Source organism: Homo sapiens, chromosome X, assembly GCF_000001405.40.
Source record: "Homo sapiens chromosome X, GRCh38.p14 Primary Assembly".
NCBI classification, from domain to species: Eukaryota; Metazoa; Chordata; class Mammalia; order Primates; family Hominidae; genus Homo; species Homo sapiens.
This window is the reverse complement of record NC_000023.11, coordinates 57,329,876-57,345,864: the sequence shown is the minus strand read 5'-3', so window position 1 is coordinate 57,345,864 and position 15,989 is coordinate 57,329,876. Positions and strand designations below refer to the sequence as shown.

At 38.3% G+C, this 15,989-nt stretch overlaps 1 protein-coding gene across 18 annotated transcripts in view, besides 3 other annotated features; it reads right to left on the bottom strand.

Moving 5' to 3' along the window:
* FAAH2 (fatty acid amide hydrolase 2) overlaps positions 1–15,989 on the bottom strand; it is a 367,606-nt gene that overhangs the window by 143,332 nt on the left and 208,285 nt on the right. For 12 of the 18 annotated variants that reach the window (NR_148564.2, NR_148557.2, XM_011530767.4 and 9 more), the window contains 2 exons: positions 14,058–14,267; positions 4,475–4,594 (listed from right to left, as the gene is read on the bottom strand). Coding sequence is in view for 16 of the 18 variants with exons in the window: in XM_011530767.4 (XP_011529069.1) it covers positions 4,475–4,594; positions 14,058–14,267 (330 nt within the window). In the remaining 2 variants the exon portion in view is untranslated. The remainder of the gene's footprint in view (positions 1–4,474; positions 4,595–14,057; positions 14,268–15,989) is intronic. The other 6 variants (NM_001353841.1, XM_047441861.1, XM_047441864.1 and 3 more) reach the window with 1 other exon arrangement.
* Positions 7,137–7,907: an enhancer, noted in NCBI's record as "OCT4-NANOG hESC enhancer chrX:57364391-57365161 (GRCh37/hg19 assembly coordinates)". NCBI's record gives its function as "activates a minimal SCP1, AML or CMV promoter by ChIP-STARR-seq in naive H9 embryonic stem cells {active_cell/tissue: H9 hESC(naive)}" and the evidence as "EXISTENCE:reporter gene assay evidence [ECO:0000049][PMID:30033119]".
* Positions 9,136–9,963: an enhancer, noted in NCBI's record as "OCT4-NANOG-H3K27ac hESC enhancer chrX:57362335-57363162 (GRCh37/hg19 assembly coordinates)". NCBI's record gives its function as "activates a minimal SCP1, AML or CMV promoter by ChIP-STARR-seq in primed H9 embryonic stem cells {active_cell/tissue: H9 hESC(primed)}" and the evidence as "EXISTENCE:reporter gene assay evidence [ECO:0000049][PMID:30033119]".
* Positions 9,964–10,792: an enhancer, noted in NCBI's record as "OCT4-NANOG-H3K27ac hESC enhancer chrX:57361506-57362334 (GRCh37/hg19 assembly coordinates)". NCBI's record gives its function as "activates a minimal SCP1, AML or CMV promoter by ChIP-STARR-seq in primed H9 embryonic stem cells {active_cell/tissue: H9 hESC(primed)}" and the evidence as "EXISTENCE:reporter gene assay evidence [ECO:0000049][PMID:30033119]".

Genomic DNA, 15,989 nt, shown 5'->3' with positions numbered 1-15,989 from the left:
AGGTATATATCAAAAGATTATTATAAGTTAATGAAAATAAAAAATAACTTACCAAAATCTTTGTGATTCAGGTAATGCACTGTTAAGAGTAAAGTTTAAGATGTTAAAAGCCTGAATCAAAAAGTTAGAAAGATCTAAAATCAGTGATCTAATCACACCCAAAGGAACTAGAAAATAAATTGCAATCCAAACTCAAAGCTTGCAGTAGAAAATATGTAACTATAATTGGGTAGAACCAATGAAATTGACATGCAAAAGTTCATACAAAAGATCAATTTAACCAAGAGTCTCTTTTTTGAAGGAATAAACAAGATAGACTGCTGGCTAGATTAACAAAGAAAAAAAAAGTCCAAATAAATGCAATCAGAAATGACAAAGGTGAAGTTACAACTGATCCTACAGAAATACAAAAGATCCTCAGTGGTTTTTATGAACACCTCTATGGACACAAATTAGAAAATCTAGAAAAAATGGATACATTTCTGAAAACACACAACCTCTGAAGATTGAACCAGGAAGAAAGAGAAATCTTGAAAAGACAAATAACAAGCTTCGAAATTAATTCAGTAATTAAAAAAAACCTACCAATGCACAAAAGACATCGACCAGATGGATTCACAGCTGAAGTCTACCAGGAATGCAAAAAGAAAGGGAAGGGAAGGGGAGGGGAGAGGAGGGAAGGGAAGGGAAGGGAGAAAACCTGGTACCAATACTACTGAAACTATTCCAAAAAAAAAAAAAAATTGAGGAGAGGATGCTCTTTAACTCATTCTAGAAATCAAGCATCCTGATGCCAAAATCTGGCACAGACACAACAACAAAAGTCATGACTATATCCCTGATGAATACAGACAGAAAAAATTTCAACAAAATACTAGCAAACTTATTTCAGCAGCACATCAAAATGTTAATTCACAACAGTTGAGTAAGCTTTACTCCTGGGATGCAATGTTAATTCAACATAAGCAAATAAAAAAAAGTGATTTACCACATACACAGAATTTAAAACAAAAAAAGATATAATCATCTCAATAGATTCAGAAAGAGACTTCAATAAAATCAAACATTCCTTCATGATAAAAACCTTAGAAGAATAGTCATCAAAAGAGCATACATCAAAATAATAAGAGCTAATTATGACAAACCCACAGCCAACATCATATTGAATGGGCAAAAGACAGAATAATTCCCCTTGAGACCTGCAGTAAGACAAAGGTGTCCAGTCTCACCACTCCTATTCAACATAATACTGGAAGCCCTAGCCAGAGCATTTAGGCATGAGAAAGAAATAAAGGGCATTCAAATAGGACAAAGACAAAGTCAATCTCTCTCTGCTGACAATATGATTCAAAAAGACTCTCCCAAAAGGCTCCTGGAATTGATAAATGACTTTAGTAAAGTTTCAGGACACAAAATTCATGTACAGAAATCAGTAGCATTTCTACACTTCAATAATATTCTTGGTAAGCCAAATAAAAAATGCAATCCCATTTACAATAGCCACACCAAAACTACAATATCTAGAAATACCACTAACCAAAGAGGTGAAACATCTTTACAAAAAGAACAACAAAATACTGCTGAAAAAATATGAGATGAAACAAACAGAAAAATATTCCATTATCATGGATTGGAAGAATCAATATCATTAAAATTGCCATACTTTCCAAAGTAATTTACATATTCAATGTTATCCCTATCGAAATACTGTTATTTTTCACAGAATTTAAAAAAAAAAAAAGCTATTCTAAAACTCATATGGAACCAATAATACATCTGAACAGCCAAAGGGATCCTAAGGAAACAAAAGGCAAATAAATCACTTTACCCAACTTAAAACTGTATTGTACGACTAATGTAACCAAAACCACATGAAGCTGGTATAAAAACAGATATATAGACCAATGGAACAGAATGGAGATCCCAGAAATAAAGCTGCAAACCTACAACGATCTGATCTTAGACAAAATTTACAAAAGCAAGGGTAACAGGACTTCCTATTCAATAAATGGCGCCGGGATAACTGGCCAGCCATATGCAGAAAAATATAACTGGATCCCTACCTTTCACCATATGCAAAAATTAACTAAATATAAATTAAATATTTAAATGTAAGATCCCAACCTATAAAAATGCTAGAGGAAAGCCTAGGAGATACCCTTCTCAACACTGGACTAGCAAATAATTTATGGCTAAGTCTCCAAAAGCAATTTCAAAGAAAATTTGGCAAGTGGGACCAAATTAAGCTAAAGAGCTACAGCATAGCGAAAGAAATTATCAAAAGAGTAAACATACAGTCTACAGAATGGGAGAAAATATTCAGAAACCATGCATCCAACATAAGTCTAATATCCAGAATCTATAAGGCACTTAAAGAAATCAACAAGCAAAAAGTAAATAATCAATTAAAGAGTGAGAAAATGACATGAATGGACACTTCTCAAAAGAAGATGTACAAGCAGCCAAGAAACCTATAAAAAATGATCAACATCACTAATCATCAGAGAAATGCATATAAAGACCACAATGAGATACTGTCTCACACAAGTCAGAATGGCAATCATTGAAAAAATCCAAAAATAACTGACACTGATGAGGCTGCAGAGAAAAGAGAATGCTTATATACTGTTGGTAAGAATGTAAATTAGTTCAGCCCTTTGGAAAGGAGTTTGGAGATATCTCAAATAACTTAGAACTGCCATTTAACCCAGTGATCCCATTACCAGATATATACTCCAAGGAAAATTATTTGTTCTACCAAAAAGACAAATGAACTCATATGTTTATCACAGCAGTATTCAGAATAGCAGAGACATGGAATCAATCCAGCTTCCCATCAACAGTGGACTGAATAAAGAATATGTAGTACCTTTACACCATGAAATACTATGCAGCCATAAAAAGGAATAAAATATTCCTTTGCAATAGTATGGATGCAGCTAGAGGCCATTATTATCCTAAGCTAATTAACACAGGAACAGAAAAGAAACTACCACATCTTCTCACTTGTATGTGGAACTAAACCTTGAGTACACATGGACAGAAAGAAGAAAACAAGAGAAACCAGAGCCTACTTAAAGGTGGAGGATGGGAGGAGGGCAAGGATCAAAAAACTACCTATCAGGGACTGTGTTCACTACGTGAATGATGAAATCATTTGTACACCAAACCACATGGACACACAATTTACCCATGTAATAAGCCCGCATATGTGCCCCCTGAACGTAGAATAAAATATGGAAGGGAAAAAAAATAGGTCAACTCCTAGCAGGCCAATTTTCAGTACTCTTTTTGTGCGTAATTCTTTAAAGTCATGAAGAGCTAGGATTTATCTTTCTTTTTAACTTTTAAGTTTAGGGGTACATGTGCAGGTTTGTTACATAGGTAAACGTGTCATGGGGGTTTGTTCTACAGACTATTTCATCATCCAGGTATTAAGACTAGTACCCATTATTTATTTTTCCTGATCCTAACCATCCTCCCACCCTCTGCCCTCTGAAAGGTCCCCAGTGTTTGTTGTTCCCCTCTATGTGCTCACATGTTCTCAACATTTAGCTCCCACTTATGAGTGAAAATATGTCACATTTGGTTTTCTGTTCCTGCGTTAGTTTGCTAAGGATAATGGCCTCCAGTTCCATCTATGTCCCTGCAAAGGAAATGATCTTGTTCTTTTTCATGGCTACATAGCATTCCATGGTGTATACGGACCATTGTTATAGTACTGATTCCTAAAAACCATGATCAAATGAGGATTTATTCTTAGCATATTTTTATGATTAATCTAAAGTTCAAAATATTCTGCTTTACTATACCACAATTATATTTATTAGACTACCTTATATTACCTTTAAATCACTTTTTGAAAGCCTAGAAGATTTTAAGTTCCTTGAATGCAGGGAGTCTGCTTTGACATTCTTACCACCATAAATAATACAAAATAAATACTCCTTGAATTCATTGAAAAAACAGTAAATGCCAATAACTGGAGTTTCTAGGTGACAGAATTTTTCTTTCCACTGTTTCTGAAACTGTGTTATTTTACCCTTTAAATGAGGGAAAATCAAATTTAACTGATAAGTCATTTTAGTACAGTGGATAGAAAACAGCCTCCTGTAATCCAAGTAGGTTTGAATCCTAGCACTATGATTTACTTGTTTAACTATTTAATTTGGAGCCGGTTTATTTAATCTTTCTGAGCTTTGAATTTGTCATTTGTAAATTGGGGATAACTTTCTGAAAAAAAAAAAAACAACTATTATAACTATTGAAAGACATTAGTTATAGGAAAGCCTTGCACAATTTTGTGCACCAATCCCAGAGTTGGTGCTCAATAAACAGTAGCTAGTTTTATTTAAGAACATTGAGAAATATATAATAATCACCCTGATAAGCAAGATAATCCTGCTAGAACAAAATTTCTGAATTGCTCTGAATTATAAAAGTAGAACCACCCTTCTGATCATATTAACATTACCTGGAGAAGGCTTGTGTCCAAATATACCATTGAAGAAAGCAGGCATTCGAATGCTACCACCAATATCAGAGCCCACACCAATAACTGAGCAGGCAGCTGCCAGTGTGCAGCCCTCACCACCTACAAGAAACACAAAATACTTGCAAATAAATAATCTAATATACTATTTGCATGGAATATCTTTTTCCATCTTTTCACTTTCAACCTTTTTGTGTCTTTAGATCCAAAGTGAGTCTTTTGTTCACAGCATATATTTAGATCATAATTTTATTCTATTCATCTATATTACTTGAGAATATTAAGCCATTTACATTTTAAAGTAATTACTGATAAGGTTTTCCCTGAGGATATTTCTTCCCCGGGTCTGTGTTTGTGTGTCTGCTTTTTCTTAATTCTCTCATATAGAAAAGAGTTCTTATTTTTTTTTTTCCATCAACTTTTAAGTTCTGGGGTTCATGTGCAGGATGTGCAGGTTTGCTACACAGGTATATGCGTGCCATGGTGGTTGGCAGCACAGATCAACACATCACCTAGGTATTAAGCCCAGCAGCCATTAGCTATTCTTCTTGATGCTCTCCTTTCTCCCAACATCCCCCAACAGGCCCAAGTGTGTGTTGTTCCCCACCATGTGTCTATGTGTTCTAATCATTCAGCTCCCATCCCACTTATAAGTGAGAACATGCTGTGTTTGCTTTTCTATCCCTGCATTCGTTTACTGAGAATAATGGCTTCCAGCTCCATCCATGTCCCTGCAAAGGACATGATCTTGTTCCTTTTCATGGCTGAATAGCATTCCGTGTTGTATTTGTACCACATTTTATTTATTCAATCTATCATTGATGGGCATTTGGGTTGATTCCATGTCTTTGCTATTGTGAATAGTGCTACAATGAACATATGTGTGCATGTATCTTTATAATAAAATGCTTTATATTCCTTTGGGTATATACCCAGTTTGATGGTTAATACTGAGCGTCAACTTGATTGAATCAAAAAATGCAAAGTATTCTTCCTGGGTGTGTCTGTGAGAGTGTTGCAAAGGAGATTAATATTCGAGTCAGTGGACTGGGAGAGGCAGGCCCATCCCCAGTCACAACAGGCACCATCTAATCAGCGTGGCTAGAATAAAGCAGATAGAAATTGGAAAGAGCAGAGTTGCTGTGTCTTCCAGCATTCATCTTTCCTCCATGCTGCATGCTTCCTGTCCTCAAACATCGGACCCCAAGTTCTTCAGCTTTTGGACGCTCGGACTCACACAAGTGGTTTGCCGGGGGCTCTTGGGCCTTTGGCCACAGATTAAAGGCTGCATTGTCAGCTTTCCTACTTTTGAGGTTTTGGGACACAGACTGGCTTCCTTGCTCCTCAGCTTGCAGACGGCCTATTGTGGGACTTCAACTTGTTATCCTGTGAGCCAATACTCTTTAATAAACTCCCCTTCATGTATAAATCTATCCTATTAGTTCTGTCCCTCTAGAGAACCCTGACTAACACACCCAGTAATGGGATTGCTGGGTAAAATGGTATTTCTGCTCCTAGATTTTTGAGGAATTGCTACACTGTCTTCCACAAAGGTTGAACTAATTTACATTCCCAACAACTGTGTAAAACATTCCTTTTTCTCTGCAAGCTAGCTAGCATCTGTTGTTCCTTGGCTTTTTAATAATTGCCATTCTGACTGGTGTGAGATGGTATCTCATTGTGGTTTGATGTGCGTTTCTCTAATGATCAGTGATGTTGAGCTATTTTTAATGTTTGTTGGCTGCATTAATGTTTTCTTTTGAGGAGTCTCTGGTCATGTCCTTTGCCTACTTTTTAATGTTTTTTTCTTGTAAATTTGTTTAAGTTCCTTGTACACTGCATATTAGACCTTTGTCAGATGGATAGATTGCAAAAATTATCTCCCATTCTGTAGGTTGTCTGTTCACTCTGATGATAGTTTATTTTGCTTTGCAGAGGCTTGTTAGTTAACTAGATTCCATTGGTCAATTTTTGCTTTTGTTGCAAATGCTTTTGGTGTTTTCATCATGAAATGTTTGCCCATGCCTACGTCCTGAATGGTACTGCCTAGACTTTCTTCTAAAATTTTTATAGTTTTGTGTTTTAGGTTTAAGTCTTTAATCCATCTTGAGTTAATTTTTGTACAAGGTGTAAAGAAAGGGTCCAGTTTCAACTTTCTGCATATGTCTAGCTAGTTCTCCCAGCACGAATTATTAAATAGAGAATCCGTTCCCCATTGCTTGTTTTTGTTAGGTTTGTAGAAGATCAGATGGTTGTAGTTGTGCAGTCTTATTTCTGAGTTGTCTATTCTACTCCATTGGTCTATGTGTTTGTTTTGGTACCAGTACCATGCTGTTTTGGTTACTGTAGCCCTGTAGTATAGTTGGAAGTTGGGTACCATGATGCCACCAGCTTTGTTCTTTTTGCTTAGGATTGTCTTGGCTACTCGGGCTCTTTTTTGTCTCCACGTGAATTTTAAAATAGGTTTTTTTTTCCTAATTCTCTGAAAAATGTCAATGGTAGTTTAATAGGAATAGCATTGAATCTATAAATTACTTTGGGCAGTATGGCTATTTTCACGATAATGATTCTTCCTATCCATGAGCATGGATTTTTTTTTTCCATTTGTTTGTGTCCTATCTGATTTCTTTGAGTAGTTTGTAGCTTTCCTTGAAGAAGTTCTTCACTTTCCTTGTTAGCTGTATTCTTAGGTATCGTATTCTTTTGTAGCAATTGTGATTTGGAGTTCATTCATGATTTGTCTCTACTTGCCTGTTGTTGGTGAATAGAAATGCTGGCAATTTTTGCACATTGAGTTTGTATCCTGAGTGTCAGGCCTCTGAGCCCAAGCCAAGCCATCGCATCCCCTGTGACTTGCAAGTATATGCCCAGATGGCCTGAAGTAACTGAAGAATCACAAAAGAAGTGAAAATGTCCTGCCCCACCTTAACTGATGACATTCCACCACAAAAGAAGTGTAAATGGCCAGTCCTTGCCTTAACTGATGACATTCCACCACAAAAGAAGTGAAAATGGTCGGTCCTTGCCTTAAGTGATTACATTACCTTGTGAAAGTCCTTTTCCTGGTTCATCCTGGCACAAAAATCTCCCACACTGAGCACCTTGCGACCTCCACTCCTGCCCGCCAGAGAACAAACCCCCTTTGACTGTAATTTTCCTTTACCTACCCACATCTTATAAAATGGCCCCACACCTATCTCCCTTTGCTGACTCTCTTTTCAGACTCAGCCCGCCTGCACCCAGGTGATTAAAAGCTTTTATTGCTCACACAAAGCCTGTTTGGTGGTCTCTTCACACGGACGTTCATGAAACTGAGACTTTGTTGAAGTTGCTTATCAGATTAAGAAGCTTTTGGGCTGAGATGATGGGGTTTTCTAGATATATGATCATGTAATCTGCAAGCAAAGGTAGTTTGACTTCCTCTCTTCCTATTTGAATATGCTTTATTTCTTTTTCTTGCCTAATTGTCTGGCCAGAACATCCAATACTATGTTGTATCAGAGCAGTGAGAGAGGGCATCCTTGTCTTGTGCTGGTTTTCAAGGAGAATGCTTCCAGCTTTTGCCCATTCATTGTGATATTGACTGTGAGTTTGTCAAATACAGATCTTATTATTTTGAGGTATGTTCCTTCAATACCTAGTTTATTAAAAGTTTTTAACATAAAGGGATGTTGAATTTTAGTGAAGGCCTTTTCTGCATCTATTGAAATAATCATGTTTTTTATCTTTAGTTCTGTTTGTGCAACAAATGACATTTATTGATTTGCATATGTTCAGCCAAACTTGCATCGTAGGGATGAAACCAATTTGTTCATGGTGTATAAGCTATTTGATGTGCTGCTAAATTCTGTTTGCCAGTATTTTATTGAGGGTTTTTGCATTGATGTTCATCAAGAATCTTGGCCTAAAGTTTTCTATTTTTATTTTTTCTCTGCCAGGTTTTCTTATCAGGATGATGCTGGCCTCATAAAATGAGTTAGAAAAAAATCCCTCTTTTTCAATTTTTTGGAATAATTTCAGTAGAAATGGTATCAGCTCCTCTTTGTACCTGTGGTAGAATTCAGCTGTAAATCCATCTGGTCCTGGGCTTTTTTTTTTTTTTTTCGATTGGTAGGCTATTTATTACTGCCTCAATTTTAGAACTCATTATTGTTCTATTTAGAGATTCAATTATTTCTTGGTTCGGTCTTGGGAAAGTGTATGCCTCCAGGAATTTTTTTCCATTTCTTCTAAATTTTCTAGTTTTGTCCATACAGGTGTATATAGTAATCTATGATGGTTGTTTGTATTTCTGTGGGGTCAGTGGTAATAACCCCTTATCATTCCGATTTTGTCTATTTAATTCTCTCTTTTCTTCTTTATTAGTCTAGCTAGTGCTCTATTTTATTTATTTATTTTTTTTTTCAAAAGAATAGCTCCTGGATTCGTTGATTTTTGAAGGATTTTTTGTGTCTCTATCTCCTTCAGTTCTGCTCTAATCTTGGTTATTTCTTGTCTTCTCCTAGCTTTGGGATTTGTTTGCTCTTGCTTCTCTACTTCTTTTAGTTGTGATGTTAGGTTGTCAGTTTTAGACCTTTCTAGCTTTTTGATGTGGGGATTTAGTGCTATAAATTTCCCTCTAAACAGTGCTTTAGCTGTGGCCCAGAGATTCTGATATATTGTGTCTTTGTTCTCATTAGTTTCAAAGAACTTCTTGATTTCTTTGTTAATTTCATTATTTACCCAAAAGTCAAAAGTCATTCCGGAGCAGGTTGTTTGATTTCCCCGTAGTTGTGTGGTTTGGTGTGGGATGACTTTCTTAATCTTGAGTTCTAATTTGATTGTGCTGTAATGTGGGGAAAAGAAAGAGAGATCAGATTGTTACTGTGTCTGCGTAGAAAGAAGTAGACATAAGAGACTCCATTTTGTTCTGTACTAAGTTTCATGCGCGTCCGTGTGAAGAGACCACCAAACAGGCTTTCTGTGAGCAATAAAGCTGTTTATTTCACCTGGGTGCAGGTGGGCTGAGTCTGAAAAGAGAGTCAATGAAGGGAGATAGGGGTGGGGCCATTTTATAGGATTTGAGTAGGTAAAGGAAAATTACAGTCAAAGAGGGGTTCTTCTCTGGCGGGCAGAATGGGGGTCTCAAGGTACTCAGTGGGGGAGCTTTTGAGCCAGAACGAGCCAGGAGAAGGAATTTCACAAGACAATGTCATCAGTTAAGGCAGGAACAGGCTATTTTCCCTTCTTTTGTGGTGGAATGTCATTAGTTAAGGTAGGAACCAGCCATCTGGATGTGTACCTGCAGGTCACAGGGGATATGATGGCTTAGCTTGGGCTCGGAGGCCTGACACTAAGAAAAATTCTTCTGCCTTGAGATGATGTTGATCTGTAACCCTACCCCCAACCTTGTGCTCCCTGAAACATGTGCTGTGTCAACTCAGGGTTAAATGGATTAAGGGCTGTGCAGGATGTGCTTTGTTAAACAAATGCTTGAAGGCAGCATGTTTGCTATGAGTCATCACCACTCTGTAATCTCAAGTACCCAGAGACACAATACACTGCAGAAGGCCGCAGGTACCTCTGCCTAGGAAAGCCAGGTATTGTCCAAGGTTTCTCCCCATGTGATAGTCTGAAATATGGCCTCGTGGGAAGGGAAAGACCTGACTGTCCCCCAGCCCAACACCCGTAAACGGTCTGTGCTGAGGAGGACTAGTAAAAGAGGAAGGAACGCCTCTTTGCAGTTGAGATAAGAGGAAGGCATCTGTCTCCTGCTCATCCCTGGGCAATGGAATGTCTTGGTGTAAAGCCCAGTTGTATATTCCATCTACTGAGATAGGGGAAAACTGCCTTAGGGCTGGAGGTGGGACATGCTGGCAGCAATACTGCTCTTTAAGGCGTTGAGATGTTTATGTATATGCACATCAAAAGCACAGCACTTTTTTCTTTACCTTGTTTATGATGCAGAGACATTTGTTCACGTGTTTACCTGTTGACCTTCTCTCCACTATTATCCTATTGTCCTGCCACATCCCCCTCTCCGGGAAACGCTGGATAATGATCAATAATAATACGGGTCCTCCTTATGCTGAACGCCGGTCCCCTGGGCCCATTTTTCTTATTTTTCTTTCTCTATACTTTGTCTCTGTGTCTCTTTCTTTCTTTTCCAAGTCTCTCATTCCACCTAACGAGAAACGCCCACAGGTGTGGAGGGGCAACCCATCCCTTCACTGTAATCTGAGAGACTGTTTGTTATGATTTAAGTTCTTTTGCATTTAATGAGGAATGTTTTACTTCAAATTATGTGATAAATTTTAGAGTAAGTGCTATGTGATGATGAAAAGAATGTGTTTTCTATTGTTTGGGGGTGGAGAGTTCTGTAGATATCTATTAGGTCCACTTGATCCAGAGCTAAGTTCAGGTCCTGAATATCTTTGTTAATTTTCTGTCTCAATGATCTGTCTGATATTTTCAGTGGGGTGTTAAGTTCTCCCACTATAATTGTGTGGGAGGCTAAGTCTCTGGTTTTAAATGTTTCCATTTATTCTCCTCTCTTGCCACTTAATGCATACTTTTTTGTTACTTTAATATTTGCCCTTGAGTTTGCAATATACATTTAGAACTAACTCAAGTCTCCTTCAAATGATACTCTGCCACCTCCCAAGTAGTGTAGTTATCTTATAAAGGAACATTCCCAATTCCTTTATCCCATCCCATATAACAATGTTGTCATTCATTTCACTCATAGACAAGCTATAATCACCCAACACATTGTTGGCATTATTATTTTGAACAATTACATGTTACAGCAATCAATAATTTAAAAATACATTATTTTACCTTTGTTCAATCTTTCTCTAATAATTTTCTTTTTTTTTTTACATTAATTCAGGTTTTTGGTTTGTATTCTTTTTTTCTCTATGAAGAACATCTTTTAACATTTCTTGCTCTGTTGCTCTACTGGTAACAAATTCTGTCAATATGTCTTTGTCTCAGAGCATCTTTATTTCTTTTTCACTTTTGAAGAATAGATCTGCTAGACAGAGATTTAAGTTGATGGTTCTTTCAGTGGTTTAAATATTTGACTCCCATCTTTGTGTGTGTGTGTGTGTGTGTGTGTGTGTGAGACGGAATCTCCCTCTGTCACCTAGGCTGGAGTGCAGTGGCATGATCTCGGCTCACTGCAACCTCCACCTCTCGAGTTCAAGCAATTCTCTTGCCCCAGACTCCTGAGTAGCTGGTATTACAGGCACCTGCTGCCAGGCCTGGCTAATTTTTGTATTTTTAGTAGAGATGGGGATTCAACATGTTGGCCAGTCTGGTCTCAAGCTCCTAACTTCAAGTGACCCAACTGCCTTGGCCTCCCAAAGTGGACTCCCATCTCTTATTGTTTGCATGGCTTCTGAAGAAAATACCAATATAATTCTGTCTTTGCTCTTCTACAGATAAGGTATGTTTCTCCTTCTTCTTTAAATATTTTCTTCTTTCTCCTTAACCTTCTAAGGATGAAATATTATGCTAGGTGTAGTTTTTTTCAAACATTTATTGCTGTTTCTTAAAATCTTTCTTCTCTTCCTAGTGTTCCAATTACATATGTGTATTATATGCATTTGTAATCCAACAGTTATTAGATAGTCTCTTCTGTCTTTTTCAATCTTTTTCTTCCTCTTTGCATTTCAGTTTTGGAAGTTCTTTTTGACAGATCTTCCACATCACCGAAGGTTTCCTGTTTTGTATACAATATATTGATGAGCCCATCAAAGATGTTCTTCATTTCTGTTATATTTTTTTTTTATTTCTAGCATTTGCTTTTGATTCTTGAAGTTCCCATCTGTCTTCTTACATTACAGATCTGTACTTGCATGTTGACCAGTTTTTCCATTATAGCCCTTACTATATTAATCACAAATGGTTTCAATTCTCAGTCTGATAATTTCAATATCTCTTCCATATTGGAGTCAAATCTTGATGGTTGCTTTCTCTTTTCAAACTGTGATTTTGTCTTTTAGTATGCCTTATAATTGTTTTGTTGAAAGCCAAACATGATGTACTGAGATAAAAGAACTGGGGGTATTTGGCCTTTAATGTGAGGTTTTATGTTTCCCTGGCTAGGGGTTAGTCTGTGTTTACTGTCTGCTGTAGCCATAGGTGTCAGGTGTAAAATTTTCAACTAGTGCCATTGTTTCCACCTCCTCTGTTGTCTTTGAGTTTCCCTAGAGACTTCTTAAATAACACCTATGATGTACTGTTCTTCTGGTTTATATAGAACTCCCATTATAGAAAATCCCTATTTGTGTAGTGATAAGGTGTGTGGAGACAAGGAGAGGAAGTATTTTATAGTCATATGATTAGGTCTCAGTCATTTAGTTAGCATGTGCCCCTGCTCTGTGACCCTAACATGTGCTTCCCAATTTTATTCTGCTTTGACCCCTTCAGTAGGACAGGAAACCTAGAGAGGACTGGAGTTGGATATTTCATTTCCCCTAGGTCAAGTCCATTAGTTTCTTGTAAAACCTTACTAAGTTAGGTTCTGAAAAAATAGTTTCTCTGAGGACATTCCTTGTTAGAAGAACAGTATGCTTTGGAAGCAGAATTTCAAAATGGCTACTTTTTCCCTCCCTGTGCAAGAAGCAAGAGAAGATTTCTCTCCAATCTTCACTCAGGAACACAGTAGGACTCCTGAAGGTAAAACTTTTGAAATTGTGTGGGGCCCCTAAGATCCCCCCACCCAACCACCACATACATTTTGATTCTCAAACTTTTTCACAATGAACCTCCAGCAAGTCATCAGTTATAGCTTAGGTTTCTCTAAAGCTGTGCTGGTTCCCCTGAAATTTTCTGCTCCTAGGCTTTTGTTCTAGCAAGTTTCACTTCTTTGTATCTGCCTGTCTTTTCATTCAGTTTTGGGAAGAGTGGTTTTCCCGTTACCTCAGCATATTGATAAATTTAAGAATTGTCATTAACTTTTAGTTTGTTCAGCTTTTGTTCTTATTGTGTGAATTGGAGTAAAAACTTCTAAACCCCATATATGCTAGACCAGAAACCTGAAGTCACACTTAAATTTTTAATCATCACAGTAACCTTACAAGTCTGATTTCTTTCATATGGCCATCTTACAAGCAAAGAAAACTGACTTAATGAGCACCTACTTCATGTGACCAAGGTCATATATTAAAAGAAGTCTCAAATGTCTATGTAGCTTTAGCACCCACAAGTTTAAACATCATATTTTGCTAACCCACATATGCATCCATTCAGGCTTAATAAAAGCCTTGTCAATTCTAGTGTCTATACACTTTTTTTTCCTAGTCTCTAAACACTTTACGATGTTTCCTATCTACATCACTTGTAGTTCATTCTCAATTCCCTTTGCTGGCTACTTCTCCTCTATCTATCTTCAAAATATCAGAGTTGACCAAGGCTGTTACATGACTCCCATTTCTTCTCCATCAACACACAAATATCCTGGGTTTTTGCATCCATTCTTATAGGTCATAGATGCTATACTGTATCATGTTTATTAATACAATTCATAATTATTATTGTTAGCATAGCTATTCATGCCATACTAAAATGTCCAACTCACCAGAACTTCCACCTACAATATGCTGTAAATCATATGGGTTGTTTGATCGGCCATAGATCTTGTTACTGGATTCATACCACATACACAACTCACTACAGTTGGTTATGCCAAGAGGAATGGCACCAGCTCCCTTCAGTAATGCCACCACAGTGGCATCTGTTTTGGCAATGGCATCACGACGGTTCATGAGTCCAGAAGAATTGGGCATTCCTAAAAGAGTCACAGAAAAGAATGTTTAAAAATTATTAAATAAAAATAGTTGTTTTCTCCTGAGGGGCAAGATGGCCAACTAGATGTAGCCAGAAGGAACATCTCCCACAAAGGGTTGGGGCATTGGAAAGACTGGCACACTGCTAGCAGATCTTCAGAGAGAAGGCATTGAGGGTGGATGGAGGGAAGACACAGATGCTGGGCTGAATGGGGAGGAAGCTGGGAACCCTGCACAGGGCTACTGTTCACTGGGACTTGCTCCTTGCTCCCAGCAACACCTGGGGAAAAGGTGAGTTGAACAGTCAAGGAGCAACCCACTTTCTACATGGGCCTCTAGAATCATAGAAGGAAAAATACCCTTGACCACCATGGACACTTGGATTAGCAGGGAGAGGTGCTCAGAGAAGTGGTAGGGGCAGAACTCAAGCTGGAGCAGAGCCTGGAAGACTTGATGCCAGAACATCTGGAGGAGCACAACAAGGGTTGCCCATGCCCCTAGGCTAGACTGGCTCCCACAGGAGACTTAAGCCCTAGGGGAACTGTCAGACCTGAAATCTGCAGGGTGGTTTTGCCCATGATTCAGGTCCAGTCCAATCTGAGCACCCCTCATTCTGCTGGCTTCTCCCAGGGCCCAAGTCTGATCCTGCCTGCTTGCAGTGCAGCCCCTAAGTACGTCCTGGGGCCCTGCATCACAATTCCTGACCTGTCAGGTGGATAGCACCTGACCTGCAAAGTCCTGGAACAGACCTGCCACAGAAGACAAGCCCAGCTAGCCCATACCCTCCTATTGGGGAACCTGCCCCGATAGTCACATAGGTTCTTTTCTATTTTCCCTAAGCATCAGCCAGTTTGAGAAATAAAGGAACAGAGTACAAAAGAAAGAAATTTTAAAGCTGGGCATCTGGGGGAGACATCACATGTCGGTAGGTTCCGTGATGCCCCACAAGCCGCAAAACCAGCAAGTTTTTATTAGGGACGTTCAAAAGGGGAGGGAGTATACAAATAGGGTGTGGGTCACAAAGATCACCTACTTCACAACATAATAGAATATCACAAGGCAAATGGAGGCAGGGCAAGATCACAGGACCTCAGGACCGGGGCAAAATTAAAATTGCTAATGAAGTTTCGGGCACCATTGCCATTGATAACATCTTATCAGGAGACAGGGTTTGAGAGCAACCAGTCTGAACAAAATTTATTAGACAGGAATTTCCTTTTCCTAATAAGCCTGGGAGCGCTATGGGAGACTGGGATTTATTTCATCCCTAAAGTTTCAACCACAGAAGACGGCCACACCCAACGGGGCCATTTTAGAGACCCACCCTTGGGGCGCATTCTCTTTCTCAGGGATGTTCCTTGCTGAGAAACAGAATTCAGTGATATTTCTCCCATTTGCTTTTGAAAGAAGAGAAATATGACTCTGTTCCACCCGGCTCACCGGTGGTCAGAGTTTAAGGTTATCTCTCTTTTTCCCTGAACAGTTGCTGTTATCTTGTTCTTTTTTCAAGGTGCCCAGATTTCATATTGTTCAAACACACATGCTCTACAATCTGTGCAGTTAACGCAATCATCACAGGGTCCTGAGGTGACATACATCCTCCTCAGCTTGTGAGATGACAGGATTAAGAGATTAAAGTAAAGACAGGCATAGGAAATCATAAGGGTATTGATTGGGGAAGTGATAAGTGTCCATGAAATCTTCACAATTTATCTTTAGAGATT